General features: G+C 38.5%; 1 pseudogene across 1 annotated transcript in view; it reads right to left on the bottom strand.

Annotated features, from left to right (window-relative positions):
* Positions 1–19,528, bottom strand: part of UBE2Q2P2 (UBE2Q2 pseudogene 2) — a 60,476-nt pseudogene that overhangs the window by 4,050 nt on the left and 36,898 nt on the right. The window contains exons 2-4 of the transcript NR_004847.3: positions 10,846–10,902; positions 6,811–6,950; positions 3,195–3,274 (exon numbers count right to left, since the gene is read on the bottom strand). The product of NR_004847.3 is annotated as a UBE2Q2 pseudogene 2 (transcript). The remainder of the gene's footprint in view (positions 1–3,194; positions 3,275–6,810; positions 6,951–10,845; positions 10,903–19,528) is intronic.

The following is a 19,528-nucleotide window of genomic DNA, read 5'->3' as shown; positions in this document are numbered from 1 at the left end:
AGAGCCCTGTAAGAAAAAAAAGAATGGGACAGAAGCAAGAGCTGAAGATATGGTTGTGGAGAATTTTCCAGAACTGATCAAAGACTTCACAAGATTTAACCACCATAAACACTTCAGGAGAAACAATGGAAGCTAGCATAACAGAATGATATCTGCAAGGTGCTGAAAGATGGAAACTGCCAATCTAGAGACTTACGCTCAATGAAGATACTCTTTAATAATGAAATAAAAAATAAGGATTTTTTCTATCTGCAGACTCACACTAAGGGAAATACTAAAGGATATTTTCAGACAGGAGAAAGAGGATCCTACATCAAAACCTGGGGACTCTATTCCATAAGCTCTGTACCCTGGAACTCAGGAATCAAGATTTTACAGAAATAAAAAGAGTTCTTCAGGGAGGGGAAAATAAAGGTTGAGGGTGACTGGTAAAATTAAGTTTGAGTTACCTTAGTATATTTTAACTCAGAACGAGACTCTCAGGCTCTACAAGGATCTCATGAAGTTATCTGACTTCCCATTTAACATCTCAGCCTTCTAAGTTATTCTTAAAGATGAAGAACATTCTAGTTTTCAAAGACTACATCACCAGATGGGTCTAAATAGTTACAAGTCACTTCCTTACATTGAGTTGAAAATCACCTCTTTGTAATTTGACTTATTAGTTCTAGTTTTATGCCCTGTCTTCACCAAAAACAAATAAAAACTAATGCTTCCATATACATACTCCTTCAAATAGTTGAAGACAATCTATCATGAACCAGAACCCCCATGTTTTCCTCTCCAAATCCATAATTTCACCAGCTATCCTAGGACATGGAAAAGAATCTCTTCCCAATCCTGGCTATTATTCTCTAAATGAACCTAACCTTATCTAAGTAGACCTTTCTTAAAGTACTACCTCAGAATTCAATTCAGTAACTCTGATGTTGCCTGTAACATCTGAAAACGACTTCCTTAAAAGTACAGCAAGTTGGATTTACCAAGTTGCTGACCAGGGCGCATTCCCTCCTGCAGTCACTCCCATCTTTGTGTTATACTTTATCTCAAGTTCAATTTTGCTTATTATTCACGACTCTCAAGTTGTCACTGCGGACATCAGAGGCCATAAACATATTGTTCTGGCTCTTTCCTGTAAATCTTTCTGAGTCATACCTGCTATTCTCCAAAGTCTGTGAATCCCAATACTAATAACTTGGCAATTCAGTTTAAGGTCCTCTTCAGAAGGTCAGTTAGCTCAAGGCAATCACATTCTTCCCAGGCGTCTTAAGAAATACTCCAACCCCAGAAAAGGCCCTTCTTTCTGGTATCAGGAGCCATGGGCCACAAACACAAATCCAATAGCATTTCAGCCATTTACCTCCCAGATCATCCCCTCCCTGAAGTTCTAACTACAGCAGGAAAAAATAATGAAAACACCACCTGCAGTCACAAATCCTCCAGTTTCCTGGCCAAGATGTCACATTCCCTTCAAGATACCTCCCAAAGAGGACATGACAAGGGAGGGGCACAGAGGGTGCTACAGGTACTGATAAGGTTCTATTTCTTTTTTATTTTTATTTTTTGAGATGGAGTTTCACTCTAGTCACCCAGGCTGTTGAGTGCAATGGTGCAATCTTGGCTCACTGCAACCTCTGCCTCCTAGGTTCAAGTGATTCTCCCACCTCAGCCTCCCAAGTAGCTGGGATTACAGGCACCTGCCACCACGCCTGGCTAATTTTTGTATTTTTAGTAGAGATGGGGTTTCACCATCTTGGCTGGGCTGGTCTCAAACTCCTGTCCTCAGGTGATCCACCTGCCTTGGCCTCCCAAGTGCTGGGATTACAGGCGTGAGCCACCATGCCCAGCCAAAGGTTCTATTTCTTTAAAGTTTGGTGTTGTGCATATGTTCATATGATTTAATGTTTTTTTTTAAAAATGGTATCTTCCTGTTTTTTGTGTGTGTGTGTGTTTTTTGTTGTAGGCCTGAGTGCTTCATTCGTTCACCCATATGAATCCGTAAAGAAGTAGCCATTAGCAACTTCAGCCTATACTGGATTCATACTTTAGGAAGACAACCCAGTTGACAACCACAACAGTTTCTATGATAACAAAATTGAGAGAAAATACTAACATTAGGGTCATTTCAAGAAAGTTCAATCATAAGATATATCCCCAAGGAAAAATATACACATGAAAAAGCTAAGTAAGCTTTTAGAAAACTACTACCATCCTTAGAGTAAGTACAACAAAGTATTCCTTTATGTCTTTGTTTTTTTCATCAAAATACTTCATATAGCCATAGATTTTAAGCCATTACATCTTGTCTAGATTCCATATTAGATCATTAACATTTTTTCTAGATTCCATTGTTATTCTTTTGTAACCTTTATTTTTGGTATCTTAAAAGTACTTTATTAAATATAACACATTCAGAAAAGTACACAAAAGATACCTTAAGGTAGACCTTAACAAGTTATTTTAAATTATTTGCCCATGTAACCACCAACCTGGTCCAGAAATATATTACAGCCAGTATCCAAGAAGCCCACAGATGTACCTTTCAGTTCACACCTCCCTACCTCCCACCTAGATGGACTCCTTACTCTACCCTGTGTCTAATCACCTCTTTTTTCTTGATAGTTTTACTGCCCAAGTATGAACCCATAAAGAAGTGTTTCTCAGTTTTCTTTTCATTTATGTTCTATGGCCGTTTGGAGGGCAGCAGACCAGTATAATAGGTCAGATTTTCTTTCACTCTAAGGACCAATTTTCACTCCACTGCAGGCGATATTGCCTCCGCTAAGAATGTATGCCCTAACCAACATTAGTTTTGCCTATTTTTGAACTCTATATAGAGGAAATTGTACAAAATAGGTTTTGGGGGTCTGGTCTCTTTTGCTTAACATAGTGTTCAAGATTCGCTCATCTTGTCCCACATGACTGTAAGCCATTTTATGAATACCACAATTCTCCATTTTATTGGAATGAACATTTGGGTTATTTTCTGTTTGGGGCTATTATAAACGATGCTGCTCTGAACATTCCTGTGTCTCCTGGCACCTATGTACTCATTTCTTGTGGAGTATATATCCACGAGATTCCTGAACCATAGGGTGTGAGTATCTTCCACTTTCCCAAACCGTTTTCCAAAACACTTGTACAAATACACACCCCCATTAGAAGGATATAGAGTCTCATAACCATTTTCTTACCTTGAAAGATAAGCAAAATGTCTCCTATCGCTTCTTTTTAAGATCTAAAGATCACTGTGCAAAGGACTATCAGGGTCAACCTTGAGAATTCCAAAACAAAAAACAATTCAAACAAAAAGATTATTATTATTATTATTATTTTAACTAACTCAAAAATGAACCAATCTGAAAGCTAAAATAGAGCACCTAGGATAAGTTCCAGAAAGAGGAGATCTTAAGCTGCTCTATATCCCCAGGAAAAATAGAGGCCACTATAGTTTCCAGCTCCTTTAGAATAAATGTCCCAAAGGGATCACAATACCCTAAATCTAATCTAATAAGGGGGTTCAGAGTTTGGAGTCATTCTAAAGGAAAACAGTCATATGTATATAATTTTCTCAAGAATTCAAACACAGTTTAATATGCTTTCCTAAACTTGTATTATTAGCCAAGGTGTTCAAGGAGAAAAATTTGCCATGGACGGAACCGTCAAAAGTTAAATCACTAAAAAATCGGTATTTTTCTACAACTGTCCTATATATACATATACAATATGTATCCCACCCTCCACTCCCCCTTGTTTTTGTTTTATGATACAGGGTGTCTCACTCTGTCACCCAGGCTGGAATATAATGGTGCAATCACAGCTCACTGCAGCCTTGACTTCCCCAAGCTCAAAAGATCTTCCTGCCTCAGCTTCCCACCACCTCTAGTAGCTAGGACAACAGGTGTACTCCACCTATATATTTTTAAAGTAATAACATAACTACCTCCACAATAAGAGTTGATTATGTTGCTTTCAAAACTGGGGGGAAAAATCACAAAAATCAACTTGGCAATCATTCTCTGTATAATGAAATGTATTACTCTTATTTACTTATCAAGCAATATTGCTCAAGCTTTTTGCCAGAAGATAAAAATCATGTAAATGTTCACTCTATCAGGAGGATGACCAAAAAAATTCCAACGGACCTATAAAAACAATTTCTTTAAATCCAAAAACAAGCAAACTCATCCTATCTTACCCCCTACATCTTTTGGAACTTGATTGCATTTGAGTTTCACAAAATAAAGCTAGTAAACATTTCCATTTCTGTCCAGCTTTAAGAAATGACATTTATAATCTGACAACAGAAAAGAACAAAAGAACAATAAGAGAAGGGATTTAGAGATCCTTACCTGTCTTATAACTCTGTGATCTGTATATGTCCCTGAGCCCTGTATATGTATAAGTCTATCTGAAGCTTGCAAGCTTGCACTGACCCAGACACTTCAGCCGGAAACACAAAAGCCGCTGTTTACCAGGGTCTACTGAGCCAACTAATTTAAAGATTTAAGGTATTTCAACCTGCTCTAAAAGATTACAGTAGCCAGGCACAGTGGTTCACACCTATAATCCCAGCACTTTGGGAGGCCGAGGCAGGTGGATCACTTGAGGCCAAGAGTTTGAAACCAGCCTGGTCATCAGCATGAAACCCCATCTCTGATTTAAAAAATACAAAAGTTGGCCGGGCATGGTTGCATGTGCCTGTAGTCCCAGCTACTCGGGAAGTTGAGGCAAGATAATCACTTGAACCTGGGAGGTGGAGGTAGTAGTGAGCTGAGATGGTGCCACTGAACTCTGGCCTGGGCCACAGAGCAAGACTCCATCTCAAAAGAAAAAAAAAAGAAAAAAGAGAAAGATTACAATAAAAATGGATCACCACTCAACAATTTAAGAAGTAAAAAAAAAAAAAAAAAAAAAAAGACAATTAAATGAAGCATTATGAAGTTTCAAGAGAATATAAAACTAGACACAAGTCTGGTTCATTTCCTTTTTCTTATCACCTAAAAAACTCTAGCCAACATGTTCAGATAACCATGGACTCCACGATAGCATAGAATTCAGTATGAGTCTATTCCAAACCCCAGCAATTTTTGAAAATACTCAAGGTGACACAATATTAAGTAAAATAGGCTTCCATTCATAAGACTACAAGCAAGAATATTACACAGATGGTCTAGTTCACACATTAAGACACTGAGAACCACGTGTGCCTACATGCAACTGGTTTCAGTTTTTCAGTGCAGGGACTTCTCTAAAGATGAAAACACATCCATATCTTATCCTAAGACTAAACAGAAATGGAACTACTTTTTGGTCATGTGAAACTAGAGGTTTTAAAGACTGCACTAGACTTTGAAGGGGGAAAAAAATCAAGTTTATAAAAATATTACCTCCTAGCTATGTAAACCTGAACTCATTTCATATCTATAAAATATGAAAAGTTTTTCATATCTCTAAAGTATAAACAGCACCTATTTCACACAGTGGCTATGATGACTAAATGAAAAGATCTTTATTAGTATAAAGTATTTAGTATAGTATCGGTCATGCAAAATTATAATTTTTACTTGTTTTGAAGATAACTCAAACTGGAATTGATCACAAGACACAGGAAGTACAGTAACATTAATTCAAATGCTACAATCTTAGTTTTTTAAATAATCAAGATATGGAGATTAACTAAATTTCTTTGCTGTATGAAAAATTACCAATTAAATTAATATACAAATAAGATTGAAGGAGGGAGAGTTATCTGATTTCAACATCTGGCATTTGCTTGCCTAACAATTCATTCCCTGTTTTGGAGAACCTGTGCCCAAGACAAAGTAACTGGTCCTCGGATGTTGTGGAGTTGGTAAATAGCTCTAATACAAGGCAGGAAGCAGTAACTGTTCAGACAATCATTTGATGTTTCCCTACTCTGTCTAAGCATTTTATGTATATACATGCATCATTTTAATTTATTTTTCATAGCAACCATCCAAAAGATATGTACTGTCTCTCCATATTTTAGGGTTGAGCAAAGTGAAACCATAAAAGGTGTGTCTGTCACCAAACTCAGTGTTCCTTTCCCATCCTGCCGCTTCACATAAAAGAGATGTTAAGTCAAAAGAGAAACATTACTTTTGGTTTGGTCAGAGCAGGATGGGTCAAAGTCAGCTTCATGAAGGAGAAATAATTTGAGTTGTGTTTTGTAGGAAAGAATGAACTTGAATTTACAGATGCCACAGAAAGAAGGTAAGCAGAGAACACAGCATAGACAAGCTGGAAAGGGGCATATACAGGGATCAGCAGGTGGTTCCAGGATGTGAAGAGCAGATGAACAGGGTAAAACGTGGCTATTCATAGATGAGAAAGATAACCTTCGGCAACAAAGCATATGAGCATGGCTAGGCATGGTGGCTCATGTCTGTAATCCCAGCACTTGGGCAGGCCAAGGTAGCAGGACTGCTTGAACTCAGGTGTTCAAGACCAGCATGGTCAACACAGTGAGACCTCATCTTTACTAAAAATCAAAAAAATTAGCCTGGTGTGGTGGCACATGACTATAATCTGAGACACTTGGGAGGCTGAGGTAGGAGGACCACTGCAGCCTGGGAGATAAAGGCTACAGTGAACTATGATTGTGCTACTGCTCTCTAGCCCAGGCGACAGAGCAAGACCCTGTCTCAAAACCAATAAACACATGACTGAATCCACCACTAAGGCAGGAATGGAGGAGGAGAGCAGCTGACATCGGCATGTTCATGAATTGCCTGGTATTAACTATAATTACTTAACCAAAAAGTCCAGATATTTATACACACTTACACATTTAAATGGCCTTGCCTTTCAGTCTTCCTAATTTTCTCTAATATTGCCCAATTTTCTTTTTCAGTTCCTTCATCCTCCAACTTCTTCTCACTAATAGGCTCTTCTTTCATCTCATAGTGATCTAAGTCTTCTATATCCTGCAAAAAGAAGAAAAATATTAGCCGATTCAACCCACTTTCCTTCAGCAGTTTCTTATGCCAAAACTTAAATTATTCTTGACTTGGTGGGGGACAGGAAACAGAATATATCTATCCTATGGGGAGAAAGAAAAAGCCCCCACATTCCATTCAAGAGGCTCCCACCTTTTATATCCTGTATTTTATTTAAAAGCTAGACTCTGGGGAAAGCAGATTTAAAAGCTTTACAAAGTCACAACTATTATGAAATAAGCCATCATTTATTTATTTACTTCTTTATTTATTTTATTTTATTTTTGTAAGATAGAGTCTCACTCTGTCACTCAGGCAGGAGTATAGTGGCGCGATCTCTGCTCACTGCAACCTCTGCCTCCCAGGTTCAAGTGATTCTCATGCCTCAGTCTCCTGAGTAGCTGGGATTACAGACGTACACCACCACGCCCAGCTAATTTCTTTGTATTTTTAGTAGAGACAGGGTTTCAACATGTTGGCCAGGCTGGTCTCAAACTTATGACGTCAAGTGATCTGCCCACCTCAGCCTCCCAAAGTGCTGGGATTACCGGCGTGAGACACCACGCCTGGCCAAGCCATCTTTTAAATCTCCTAAGAGGAACCTTTGAAACAGTTTAGCAGCAGGTGTCAAGAACCTTAACTGTTCATAGTTTGTTCCAGAAACTCGACTTCTAGAATTGTATTACAAGAAACTAGTCTAAGAGGTAAACACAAATTTAGGCATAAGAATACCTATTTCAACCTTGCAACCACAAAAACAAACACAAAATCTGCATGTGCAAAAATAGCAAAACAGTTAACTCAATTCCATGAACTATTAAGCAGCCACTGAAATATCAACACGGCATAATTTCTCCTGTATCGAAAAACTTTGAAATGAAAAATGGATTACACAAAGGAATAGAGAGAATTTCAATTATGCTGAAATAAGCACAGAAAAAGACCAGAACAACTTACATTGAAATGTTAATTTCAATTAATTTTAGTTGTTATCTCTGGAGACATTTGGTGCTTTCCCCTGATTTCCAAGTTTATGGTTTTATGTAGTAAGCACCTATTGATGTTAATAACTTAAAAATAAGTTAGAAAAAGAATTTGATCTCAGGTGCTCAGGAGGCTGAAATAGAAGCACTGTTTGGTCCCGGGAGTTCGAGGCTGCAGTAAGCTATGATCATGCCACTGCACTCCACCCTGGGTGACAGCGACCCTATCTCAAAAACTAATAATAATTTCAAAAGAATTTGAATAATACCCTGCAGAACAACATCTTTATTCACATCATTCTGCTCCCTCCCTTCCCATACTATCTGTTCTTACACATACGCAAATATATGCAGAATTGTTTAAATCCTAACTTTTTTCAATTACCTTATATTTCTACTTCAATTGCCAAAATCTCTAAAGGGGTAGTTTATATTTATCTCGACTTTTTTCCCAAGCCGCTTAATTCACCAATTTCTAGACCAGATTACTGACTACCTTCACTCAAACTCTGCCCATGTACTTCATGGAGCTCCCTTCTCCCTGTGTGCACCTTTCAGCCCTGATCTTCCACCCACACTTGTTTTCCCACAATGCTCACAAATGCCTTTGGCCTGTATTTCCACCTGTACCTTCAACCTCAGTCATGTTCCCATCCACAAAACTTCTCCACCTAAGTATTAATCAGCACATCCCAAACAGAATTCAACATATCTTTCTAAAACAATATTCTCAGCACACGATTCCCTGCTTAAGGCCTTCTTATCAACAAACATACCAAATAGAAACATGCCTGTCTCAAATTCAAGACTTCTGTCCATCTGTCTTTTCTGGACAATCTTGCTTTCCATGACTTCAACACATCAACCTTCCTTCTCAAAAGAAAAGCATCCAATGCACCCAAACACACCATGTCCAAAGTTGCTCTGGGCCTGTTCCCACATTATTTTAGGAGCCTAGAATATCTGCTTTTCACCTGTCCTAATCTGACAACTCCAAAGTCCAGTCTCCTACCTTTCTAGATTTCCCTCAAAGTTGCGGTCCCTTGTTTATTATCTTGTCAAGGGAAAATGAAAGGGTTCATGAACTTTAGTACAATGGCTGCCTGACCCATGGAAAAGGTTTAATGTTTTCATGCAGTTTATTCCACCTAAGCTAAACTGCATAAAAACATTAAAACAGACTCTCATCCTAATTGGACAATTTTAAGAAGTATTTTACTCCCAGACTCATAAAACAAGCCTACAGCCAGGCACAGTGGCACACACCTGTAATCCCAGCACTTTGGGAGGCCGAGGTGGTGGATCACTTGAGGCCAGGAGTTCAAGACCAGCCTGGGCAACAGAGTGAGACTCAAACTCTACAAAAAAATAAAAAAAAATTAGCTGGACGTGGGGCACCGGCCTGTAGTCCCAGCTACTCAGGAGGATCGCTTGAACCCAGGAGTTCAAGGTTACAGTGAGCCATGCCGGCGCTACTGCACTCCAGCCTGGGTGACAGTGAAACCCTGTCTCAAAAAACAAACAAAAACAAGCCTACAACACTACCTTTTTAGTTCCGAAGCACTCTAAAGTACATTTTAGATTAATAATTTCCAAACCAAGAAAATGAAAGCCTAAATTAATTATAAGACCCCAAACAGAAAAAAATCTTTTAAAACAATCAACACCATGGAATTCACATACATTCTATTTGGTCAATGCAGAGACACAGATCTTTGTTCTGAAGTTCAAATTTAAGTGCAAAGCTTCAGAGCCTGAAAACATCTAAAATTATACCCATGACTGACAGCTGGCCTAGGCTCAATGTCTTTGGAATTTGCTCTACTAAATTTGCTACTGTTTGAATGTATTCCCTCCAAAATTCAAGTGTTGCCAATGTGATGATATTAAGAGGTAGGACTTTTAAGAGATGATTAGGCCAAGAGGGCTCCTTTCTCCTTCATGGGATTAAGGCCCTTATGAATGAGGCTTCACACATTGGACTAGCTTGCTCTCCTGCCCTTCTGCCTGCTACCATGTGAGGATGAAACAAGAAGGTCCTGAGACACCAAATGTTGATATTTTCATCTTGGATTTCCCAGACTCCAGAACTGTCAGAAAATAAATGACTGTTCTTCATAAATTACTCACTCTCTGTTATTCTGTTACAATACTATAAAACAGACTAAGACAAATTTCTTTGAATGATTTTTCAGCAAGAGACAGTTTCACTACTTCTGGCAAGTAGTCTCTAAAATATTCTGAAATTCTCCTTTTATGCAAACATAAAATTTTTTAAACTCAGTAGTTTCTCTTCCAAAAAATAACCAAATACAGGTTAAGTACTGATTAGTATTAAATATAATTTTAGTGCTAAAAGTTAAGAGCTTTTGTTTTCCAGAAAATCAAATCCAAGAATTCAGATAAAACAATTTGCCCGAAGGCATATCATGAGTTAGAGGTAAAGCCAGAATTTATAAATTACATTCCATTCCAAATACGACGTGCTTTCAATTATTCCATATTAATAGTTATTTATAAAGGAGATTAGAGAATTACTCAAATGTCCAAAACTGAAGATATTTTATGATTTTTTTTGGTTTTTTTTTTGAGACAAGAGTCTTGCTCGTCACTCAGGCAGGAGTGCAGTGGCACGATCTTGGCTCACTGCAACCTCCACCTCCTGGATTCAAGCAATTCTCCTGCCTCAGCCTCCGGAGTAGCTGAGATTACATGTGCCTACCACCATGCCCGGCTAATTTTTGTACTTTTAATAGAGACAGAGTTTCGCCATGTTGGCCAGGCTGGTCTCAAACTCCTGTCCTCAGGTGATCCACCCACCATGGCCTCCCATAGTGCTGGGGTTACAGGCATGAGTCACCTCGCCTGGCCATAATGTTATTCTTATATAAAATACCCACTTCATCCATCTCTTCCTCTTCGTCTTCTTTTGAAGTCACTTCTTCTGTTGTCCCATTCTGAAATAGAGAAAGAATCTGCCAGAACTACACAGAACAAATATGCACATTAGAAGATTGGTGTCACAGCTTTAGGGACAAACTCCCAACCATCTGTCACTGCAGTCCCACTACCAAAGAGCTTATTAAAATTAAAATATGCATTTTTAAATCCAACTTTGATTTGACAAACAACAGTTCTCAGCTTTTAAAAATGAAACAATTTTGAACAATTCAACTTAATGGATGCCTTAGGAATAAAGAAAAGCAATCAGTCAAATATAAAGCAAAACTGAAAAAAATTCTAAAACATAATCTAATTTAAAATAAGAAAACATTTTACTTGTACGGCTATGTGCATAAGATCAAAGGCTTATTTTGTTTAAAATAAATATTCCAAACTATCAGTTCCTCAAAACAGCTACCTTTTTAACTTTGAAAAGCCTGAATCATTACATAAATTCAATTTCCTTACATTTTAAGAGGTCAGATGTGTTACTTACAATAGACGCTCCCCAAAACTAAGAGTTATGAATTGATTACCACCTCACTATAAAGCAAATTGTCTTTTTAAAAACATGTAATTTACTATCGAATATCTCTCTACAAGACACAATTTACCAATTAACACAAATTACAATTATCAAGTTCAGAAATGAATCTAATGAATTTTTAGGAGGGGCTTTCGTACCCAGTTCGGGCAAAGGTCAAAAGACAAGCTTCCTGGCCAGGACACAGTATATATATGCAGCTTTAACCATAAAGGCCAGTTCAGATTAGAACTCAGAATATGTAAAAGATCTAGAAACTAGGATCCAGAAATCAAGACCAACAAAGGTCTCAGCAGTATCTAAGCAGAAGCTTCCAAAATGTAATTCACCCCTTCTTCATTTCCCTAAATTCTTATATTCCAAAGCCAATTATTCTGGGTATCTAAAGAATATATACCTAGCCTCAAAGTCCCAAAAAATTTGGTTGCATCAATGGTTGAAAGAGCATTTTTGAAATGCTAATTTCAAAGCCTACCCAAAGAATCTCTTTTGCAAAATCTCTCTGAGGTGATTCTCACATGCATCTGGGTCTGTCACCACTAGCCCAGTTACTAGCCTTCATTTTACACATGAGAAAGCTGAGCCCCTATCCCGTCAAAAAGGGGAAGTAATTTAATCAAAACAAAAAGTGAGTTAGGGCTGTGAAATCCTAAGATTAATTTCATTTCAAGATGTGACCTGGTCCTCTTTCTAAAACCCCACTGAAATGACAGAATTTTATAAAAGAGAGTAAGTCGGCTGCAGCAGCAGCAAAACAACAAATACAAAAAGAATACCCTTAGTGAACCAAAACTATAAGGACATGCTAGAAGATACAAAGCAGATGGAATCAGACTGCTGGGCTCGAGAAAGCCACAAACCCAATCCAAATAATGGAGGGACCACTTTTGTTTGAAGGATCATTCCTCACTGTACTTGTCCCAACTATAGTTGGTAAGGATCACTCTGGTAATAGGAAGCCTGTCTTGATGGTCTCTCACTATCAGTGACAAAACCAGAGAGAAAAGACAGAATGTTTTTTTAATATAACTCAATGCAGCAGCAAAATCTTATAACAGACTCTGCCTCTTCCTTTTAGCTCAAAATCTGGAAAGCTCACTGGCCAGCACCTCCCCACCCTCATGCCACAGGAAGAGCACAGGTCTGCAAACCAGGAGGGGGAGGCCACAGCAGAAAAGAGTAACAATTCTGAAGACACTCATAACAACTCATACTGATCAAAGGTATACCTCATCTATAAATGAACAGATAACCATGTATTATCAGAGAGTTGAAGAAAATTAGCAACCTGAAAGGAAGGTGCCAAGTCAAAGAAGCACGAATGACCTGAAGCACTGCTAATGAAGGAAACAAGCAGAATTTTAAAACCTAATTGGAATCTTTAGCAGTAATTGAGAAGATACTGTATCCACAAAATACAAAACAGATTACTATGCAAAAGACAATTCTAGGAGGTAAAAATAAGACCTCTAAACCAAAAAAAAAAAAAAAAAAACAAAACAACACACCAGTTGCAGAAGGGCCAGGACACAATGACGTGACTCAGCAAAACATTAAGGTGGCTCACATCTGTAATTCCAGCACTTTGAGAGATCAAGGCGGGTGGATCACGAGGTCAGCAGATCGAGACCATCCTGGCTAACATGGTGAAACCCTATCTCTACTAATAATACAAAATTTAGTTGGGCATGGTGGTACATGCCTGTAATCCCAGCTACTCAGGAGGCTGAGGCGGGAGTATCATTTGAACCTGAGAGGTGGAGGTTGCAGTGATCCAAGATCGCACCACTGCACTCCAGCCTGGCTGACAGAGCGAGATTCTTGTCTCAAAAAAAAAAAAAGAAGTAAAACCCCCACACTTTACAGTTACACAGAAAATCATACTAACTATCAGAAAGAACTAAGAATCAGATAGGCATCAGACTTTTCATCTACAACAATAAATATCAGAACATAAAAGTATAAAGACCTGGAAAGAAACTCAATTATGACCTCAGAATTCTATATCTAGCTCCGTCAAGACAGGAAGCGTATCTGTGTATGTTTGCCTCTGGATTCTCCACACTGATATGGATGGAGTACTTTATACAGAGTCAAATATTTGTTGAACAAATGATAACAGACAGCAAGTTCATGGAACACACTCCATACACATCCCCACAAACCCTTTCTAGGAAAAAAAAAAAAACAAAAACCCAGGATATTATTCAGGGATATACTCGAGGGGCAGGGAGCAGGAGACATGATACAAGAAGTAGCAATAAGCAAAGGCAACAGTAACACCAATAGTGAAGTCTAAATGATTGCTGATAATCTCGCTGAAAGGTCACAGGCCATATTCTCTGACCACACTGATGCACTAAAAACACCTCAAAAGCCACCTGAAAATGCTTTTTTTTTCTAGATAACTCTTGGGTAAAAGAAGAAATTGATCCTCATGCCTCAGTCATCCAACTCCTAAGTATGTGCCCCAGAGAAATGCTGGCACAAGGATACCATGAAATACAGACAAGAATGACCACAGCAGCAATCACTGTTCCTAATAACACTGGAAACAACCCACATGTCTGTATCTAGTCAAGGGGATAAATGGTATGGTATATTCAAACAATGGAGTAAATACAGCAATGCAAAAGAACTATAACTACACACAATGGGAACAAATTTCACACACAATGTTGAGCACAACAAAGATATGAAAAAATACATATAGTATGATTTTCAAAAGTTCAAACAATAGGCAACACTACACCGTATTGTTGAAGGATGCATATATGAGTGATAACACTAGAGAAATATAAGGCAAGATGAGCGTACAGAGGCATGGTGATCAGGAAGCAGCCTGCAGAAGGTTTCTGTAGTGCAAGCAATGTGCCTTCTCTTCACCTTGGTGCTGGCTAGGTATTAGTTCCCAAGTACTCGCTCTAACTATATGTTACACTAAGCTTATGTTTTACATAATTTCAATACATGTCTTTTTTTTTTTTTTTTTTTTTTTGAGGTGGAATTTCACTCTTGTTGCCCAGGCTGGAGTGCAGTGGCGTGATCTCAGCTCACTGCAACCTCTGTCTCCTGGGTTCAAGCGATTCTCCTGCCTCAGCCTCCCAAGTAGCTGGGATTACAGGCATGCACCACCATGCCCAGCTAATTTTTGTACTTTTAGTAGAGACGGGCTCTCTCCATGTTGATCAGGCTGGTCTCGAACTCCCAATCTCAGGTCATTCACCTGCCTTGGCCTCCCAAAGTGCTGGGATTACAGGCATAAGCCACCATGCCGGGCAAATAAAAAGTTTTAATAGTAAGAGCAATGTGAACAGAGGATGCAATAAAATGACTTGGAAAATACAAACTATTTAGAAAATAGATTTTAAAACTTGTGCAATAAAGTCAAACAGCACCCAAAGAAAATGTATACCATTACAGGTTTGTTTAAAAAGCAGTTTAAATTACATTGATCCACTAAACTAGAAAAAGCAAAATAAACAAAAAGGGGAAATAATTAAGACACAAGGAAAATGTGAAAACAACCCACTAAATTTAAAAAATAAAACTAAGGGAGGATTCTTTCAAAAGACTAAGATAATAAAACAGTCACGCCTCTGATAAGTGATCAAGATAAAGAAAACTTTGAAGACAAAAGGGCATATAGCCACATGTGAATATGATGCAAAAAGTGAAAACTTTACACATCTTTACAACACCTTAGAAGTATGGGAGAAGTGTTCATTTCTTTTAAGAATCTACAGTTACGAAAACTAACTGAAGAAATGGAAAATCTGGAGACCAATACGCAGAAGAAGGAAAAAGACAGACTCATCCTCCAAATTGGACATTTATTTAAACCAGGGTTTGTCAGCCTCAGCAATATTGATATCTTGGGCCAGACAATTCTTTGTGAGGGTTCTCCTGGTGTGTTGTGGGACATTTAGTAACATCCCCTCTACCCACGGAATGCCAATAAGACCTCCCGACCGTGACCAGTTGTGACCACAAAAATGTCTCCAGATATTTCCAAATGTCCCATGGGAGGCAAAATATTCCTGCAGTTGAAAATTACTGTGTAAACTAGATCTACATCCTAGGTCTTAGAAAAAAGATGTAAAGCTTCCCGAGTTAGCCCTGCATACCCTTGATACTGAAATAAGAGCCTTAAAAGAAACAAACAAAACTATAATCTTATTTTATAAAGAAGTAAAAATGCAAAAATAAAATATTACCATAGCCATTCTAACAGTGTTTATTATAGGAATGCAAGGATGATTCAAAATTAGGAAAATTTCATCAGGTAATTCACAAATTATATTTCTCCATAGAATTGTAGGCACAATCAAGAAAAACAAGGTAGCTCTATATGCATTAAGTCCACGTGATATTCAGTGAAAAACACAAGTTGCAGATGTCTTACAGAAAAAAACTGAACACTGAACACATATTTCCACCATCTGCTCTTTGTCCTGAGGCTCCACTAGAAATACAGTGAAGAATAAACAATATATAAACAAACAATTACAAAAAAAAGAAATGGGGTTACCCACAGAAGAGAATTCACCTCCATTAGAAAATGACAGTAAATGGAAAATGGTTAATTAATGGAGCAAGCAAACAAAAGTGGAGGTTGGGGGATACCAAAAACAAGGAAGCTAATTTGTCCCACAGCAACCTGGAAAGGTTCTAGACTCAGACACCAGGTACCCCCGAGAGTGGGACTGACAGGCAAGACTGAAAACAGAGATTAACCAAAAGCCTATATAGAGAACACCTTTTCCAGGCCCTGAAACACACTGCTCTCCTCCATCTCCTTAAGCAGAACCCAAGCAAACATATCTACCTCAGACAAGAGAATGTAGATTTCACCTCCAGAGGAATGGAGTAGTTCCAGCCATCATTTATGATTGCACTGGGAGATAAGATAGAGGGGTAGAGGATAACAATTAGGAATCAGCATACATTCCCCCCTAAAAGCTATCAGTTGCCAAGTCTTCGCCATGCAGAACTCCCAATCAATTCTTTATTTTTTTATTTGTATTTATTTATTTTATTTATTTATTTATTTGAGAAAGGATCTTGCTCTTTCACCCAGGCTGGAATGCAGGAATGCAGCAGCATGATCACAACTCACTTTAGCCTCAACATCCTGGGCTCAAGCGATCCTCCTGCCTCAGCCTCCCAAGTAGCTGGGACTACAGGTGGGTGTCACCACACCTGGCTTTTTTTTTTTTAATTTATTTTTTGTAAAGATGGGGTCTCATAATATTGCCCAAACTACTCTTGAGCTCCTGGGCTCAAGTGATCCTCCCACGTCAATCTCCGAAAGCACTGAGATTGTAGGTGTGAGCCACCACACCCAGCCTCCCAGTCTTTCAGTACCTCTCTCAAATATGAATGAACAAAAAAGGGAATTTAAAAAAAAAAAAGAATACAGGCCAGGCACAGTGGCTCACGCCTTTAATCCCAGCACTTTGGGAGGCCGAGGTGGGTGGATCACCTGAGGTCAGGAATTCGAAACCAGCCTGACCAACATGGAGAAACCCCTTCTGTACTAAAAATACAAAAATTAGCCAGGTGTGGTGGCACATGCCTGTAATCCCAGCTACTCAGGAGGCTGAGGCAGGAGAATCGCTTGACCCCAGGAGGCAAAGGTTGCGGTGAGCCAAGATCACGCCATCGCACTCCATCCTGGGCAACAAGAGCGAAACTCCGTCTCAAAAAAAAAAAAAAAGACTACAAATGATAAGCAACATAGAATAGATATTTAAGGAAAGGTTTTAAAAAGAAAAATAAGACCAAAATAAACTAAGAAAAAAATTTATTAAAGAACAAAGAGATGCTAGGGAGAAGACAAAAGAGCATCAAAATCACTTCATAAGGACACTTGTGAATATATTACATGAATAAAACAAAATTAGAATATGAATATGGAATAATCAGAGAAGAAAAAGTTCTTAGAACTCAGGGTTCATCTTGGGAGTTGGTCCCCAATGAGCCTAACCTCCTGTTATCATGTCCCTGGACAGGCCCATCCCACAGTGAATCTGGGTTGGCCTCAAGACTCACTTTAACCTATAGAATTTGGTAGAAATGACACTGGACCTGTTCCAGGTCTAAGCCTTAAGAACACCTGGCAGCTCCACTTCTGTGCTTCTAGTAGCCAAAATAAGTACTGACTATCCTCTTGGAGAAAGAGAAACCACACAAAGAGGCCTGAGAGGATGAGACGCTATGCAGAGGAGAAGGCCACAAGAAGAAACACCAAGGCAGCAGACCTGTGGGTGAAGCAGCCGTCTCAGACATTCCACTGCAGCTGAGCATCCAGATGACCAGTCTCTGACACCGTCTAACCGCACAGTGAGAGATGCCAAATGAGACCAGCAGAAAAACTGTCCAGCTACCCCCAGTTAGCCCATACAGTAGTGACAGATAGACAAATGTGTAGTTTTATGCCATTAAGTTTTGGGAAAATTGGTTAAGCAACAATAAATAACCAAAACAAAACTTAAAGTTATGACTGTCCAAATAAAATTTCCTAAAAGTCAAAAAATAAGAAAAATATTCCAGAACTTAAAATTTAAAAAAAATTAGAAATGACGTGAGATACAAGACTCAAACAAGAGGACTAAAATCCAATTAACAGACACTTCAAAATGAACAAATAAAATGGAAAGGAGAAAGTTAACAAAAATATGACAAGATTCAAGATTCCAACTTTGAAAGAGACGATCCATAGGCCTATCCATTTGGTGTACCCAGCACAGTGAATGAAAAAAGACACACACTAAGTACAATGTTGTGCTATTTCAGCTCACCAAGGAAAAGACAAACTCCTAAAAGCTTCCAGAGAGAAAGTCATGCATGAATGAGTGAAACTCAGGGTGACATGAGGCCTCACCACCATGACTGGTTAGAAGACAACAGCACAGACTTTGAAATTCTAAGGTAAAATTATCCTCAACCTAGAAATACATAATCAACCAAACTATCAATCAAGTGTGAGGGTAGACTATGACAAAAGTGAATAGTGATGGGGATGGGCTAAGCACCAGGCACTGTTCTAAATGGTTTACATGTACCAACTCATTTAATCCTCACAGCTCCCTAGAAACATAGGTACTAATACTATTACTGGTTCCCCCATTTTGCAAATGGAAATTGATGCATAGAGCAATTAGGGAATCTGCCCAAGGGCATACAGCTAATAAGTAGTAGAACCAAGATTCAAACCTATCTCAGACTGGCTCCAAAACCCAAACACTGGATTGTATTTTTTCAGAAGCTAGAGATCAGAAAATATACCACTCCATGCTTTCTTAGGGTTTTACTTGAGGACATAGTCAGGTAAAATGACAAAGGGAAAGCCAAAGAAGATGACATGGGATCCAGGAAACAATGGATGTACTCTAGGCGAGCAGATGAGAAAAACCTCAAGATGACATGTGCACAGCCAACCCGAAGAACAACCTGCCAAAATGGGCACAGAGGAGCCAAAGGCTTTGGAAGAGAAGGAGATCTCACAGAAAGGGCTACAACAGAATTTTTTAAATTAAAAATTACTGTTATGAGGAAGACACTGCAAAACAAAAAGCAACACCAAGGAAAGAAATATCCTATCCTAAATATTCTACAAAACTTGGCTTTACAAAGTCCTAATGATAATTAGTGATTACTTATATGACTAAAGAGGAAGGGAAAGTGGGTGGTATAAGAGCTAAATTCTCACATATTATACTAAAAAGTCAATAGCTGATGCCTAAATAGGTAAATCCAGGAAGAAGTTAGGGGTAGTGGTGAGCTAGTGGAGATTTCTGTTGCTTGCAGGAGATAACATTTGGGCAAGTCCTTAAGAAGCATAGACAGACTTAAGGAGACGGCATTTCTAGGTAAAGGCAAGTCAATGAGCAAAGACAAGCAATGAAAAAAGCAAGAACATTTATGGACACCAGGAATATTCACAACAAAAAGCTGCTGTTAGGGAAAAGGGCAATTGTTTGCCTGCCATACTAAATACCAGCAGCTCCAAAGAATGAAAAGGTTATTTTTAGTATCTAAAACAGAACAAACAATTTAACAGGTACAGAAAAACTAACTTCTAAATAAGTTGA

The sequence above is a fragment of the Homo sapiens genome, chromosome 15 (genome assembly GCF_000001405.40).
Source record: "Homo sapiens chromosome 15, GRCh38.p14 Primary Assembly".
Taxonomy (NCBI): Eukaryota; Metazoa; Chordata; class Mammalia; order Primates; family Hominidae; genus Homo; species Homo sapiens.
The sequence above is the reverse complement of the archived record's forward strand: the minus strand, read 5'-3'. Positions and strand labels throughout refer to the sequence as shown.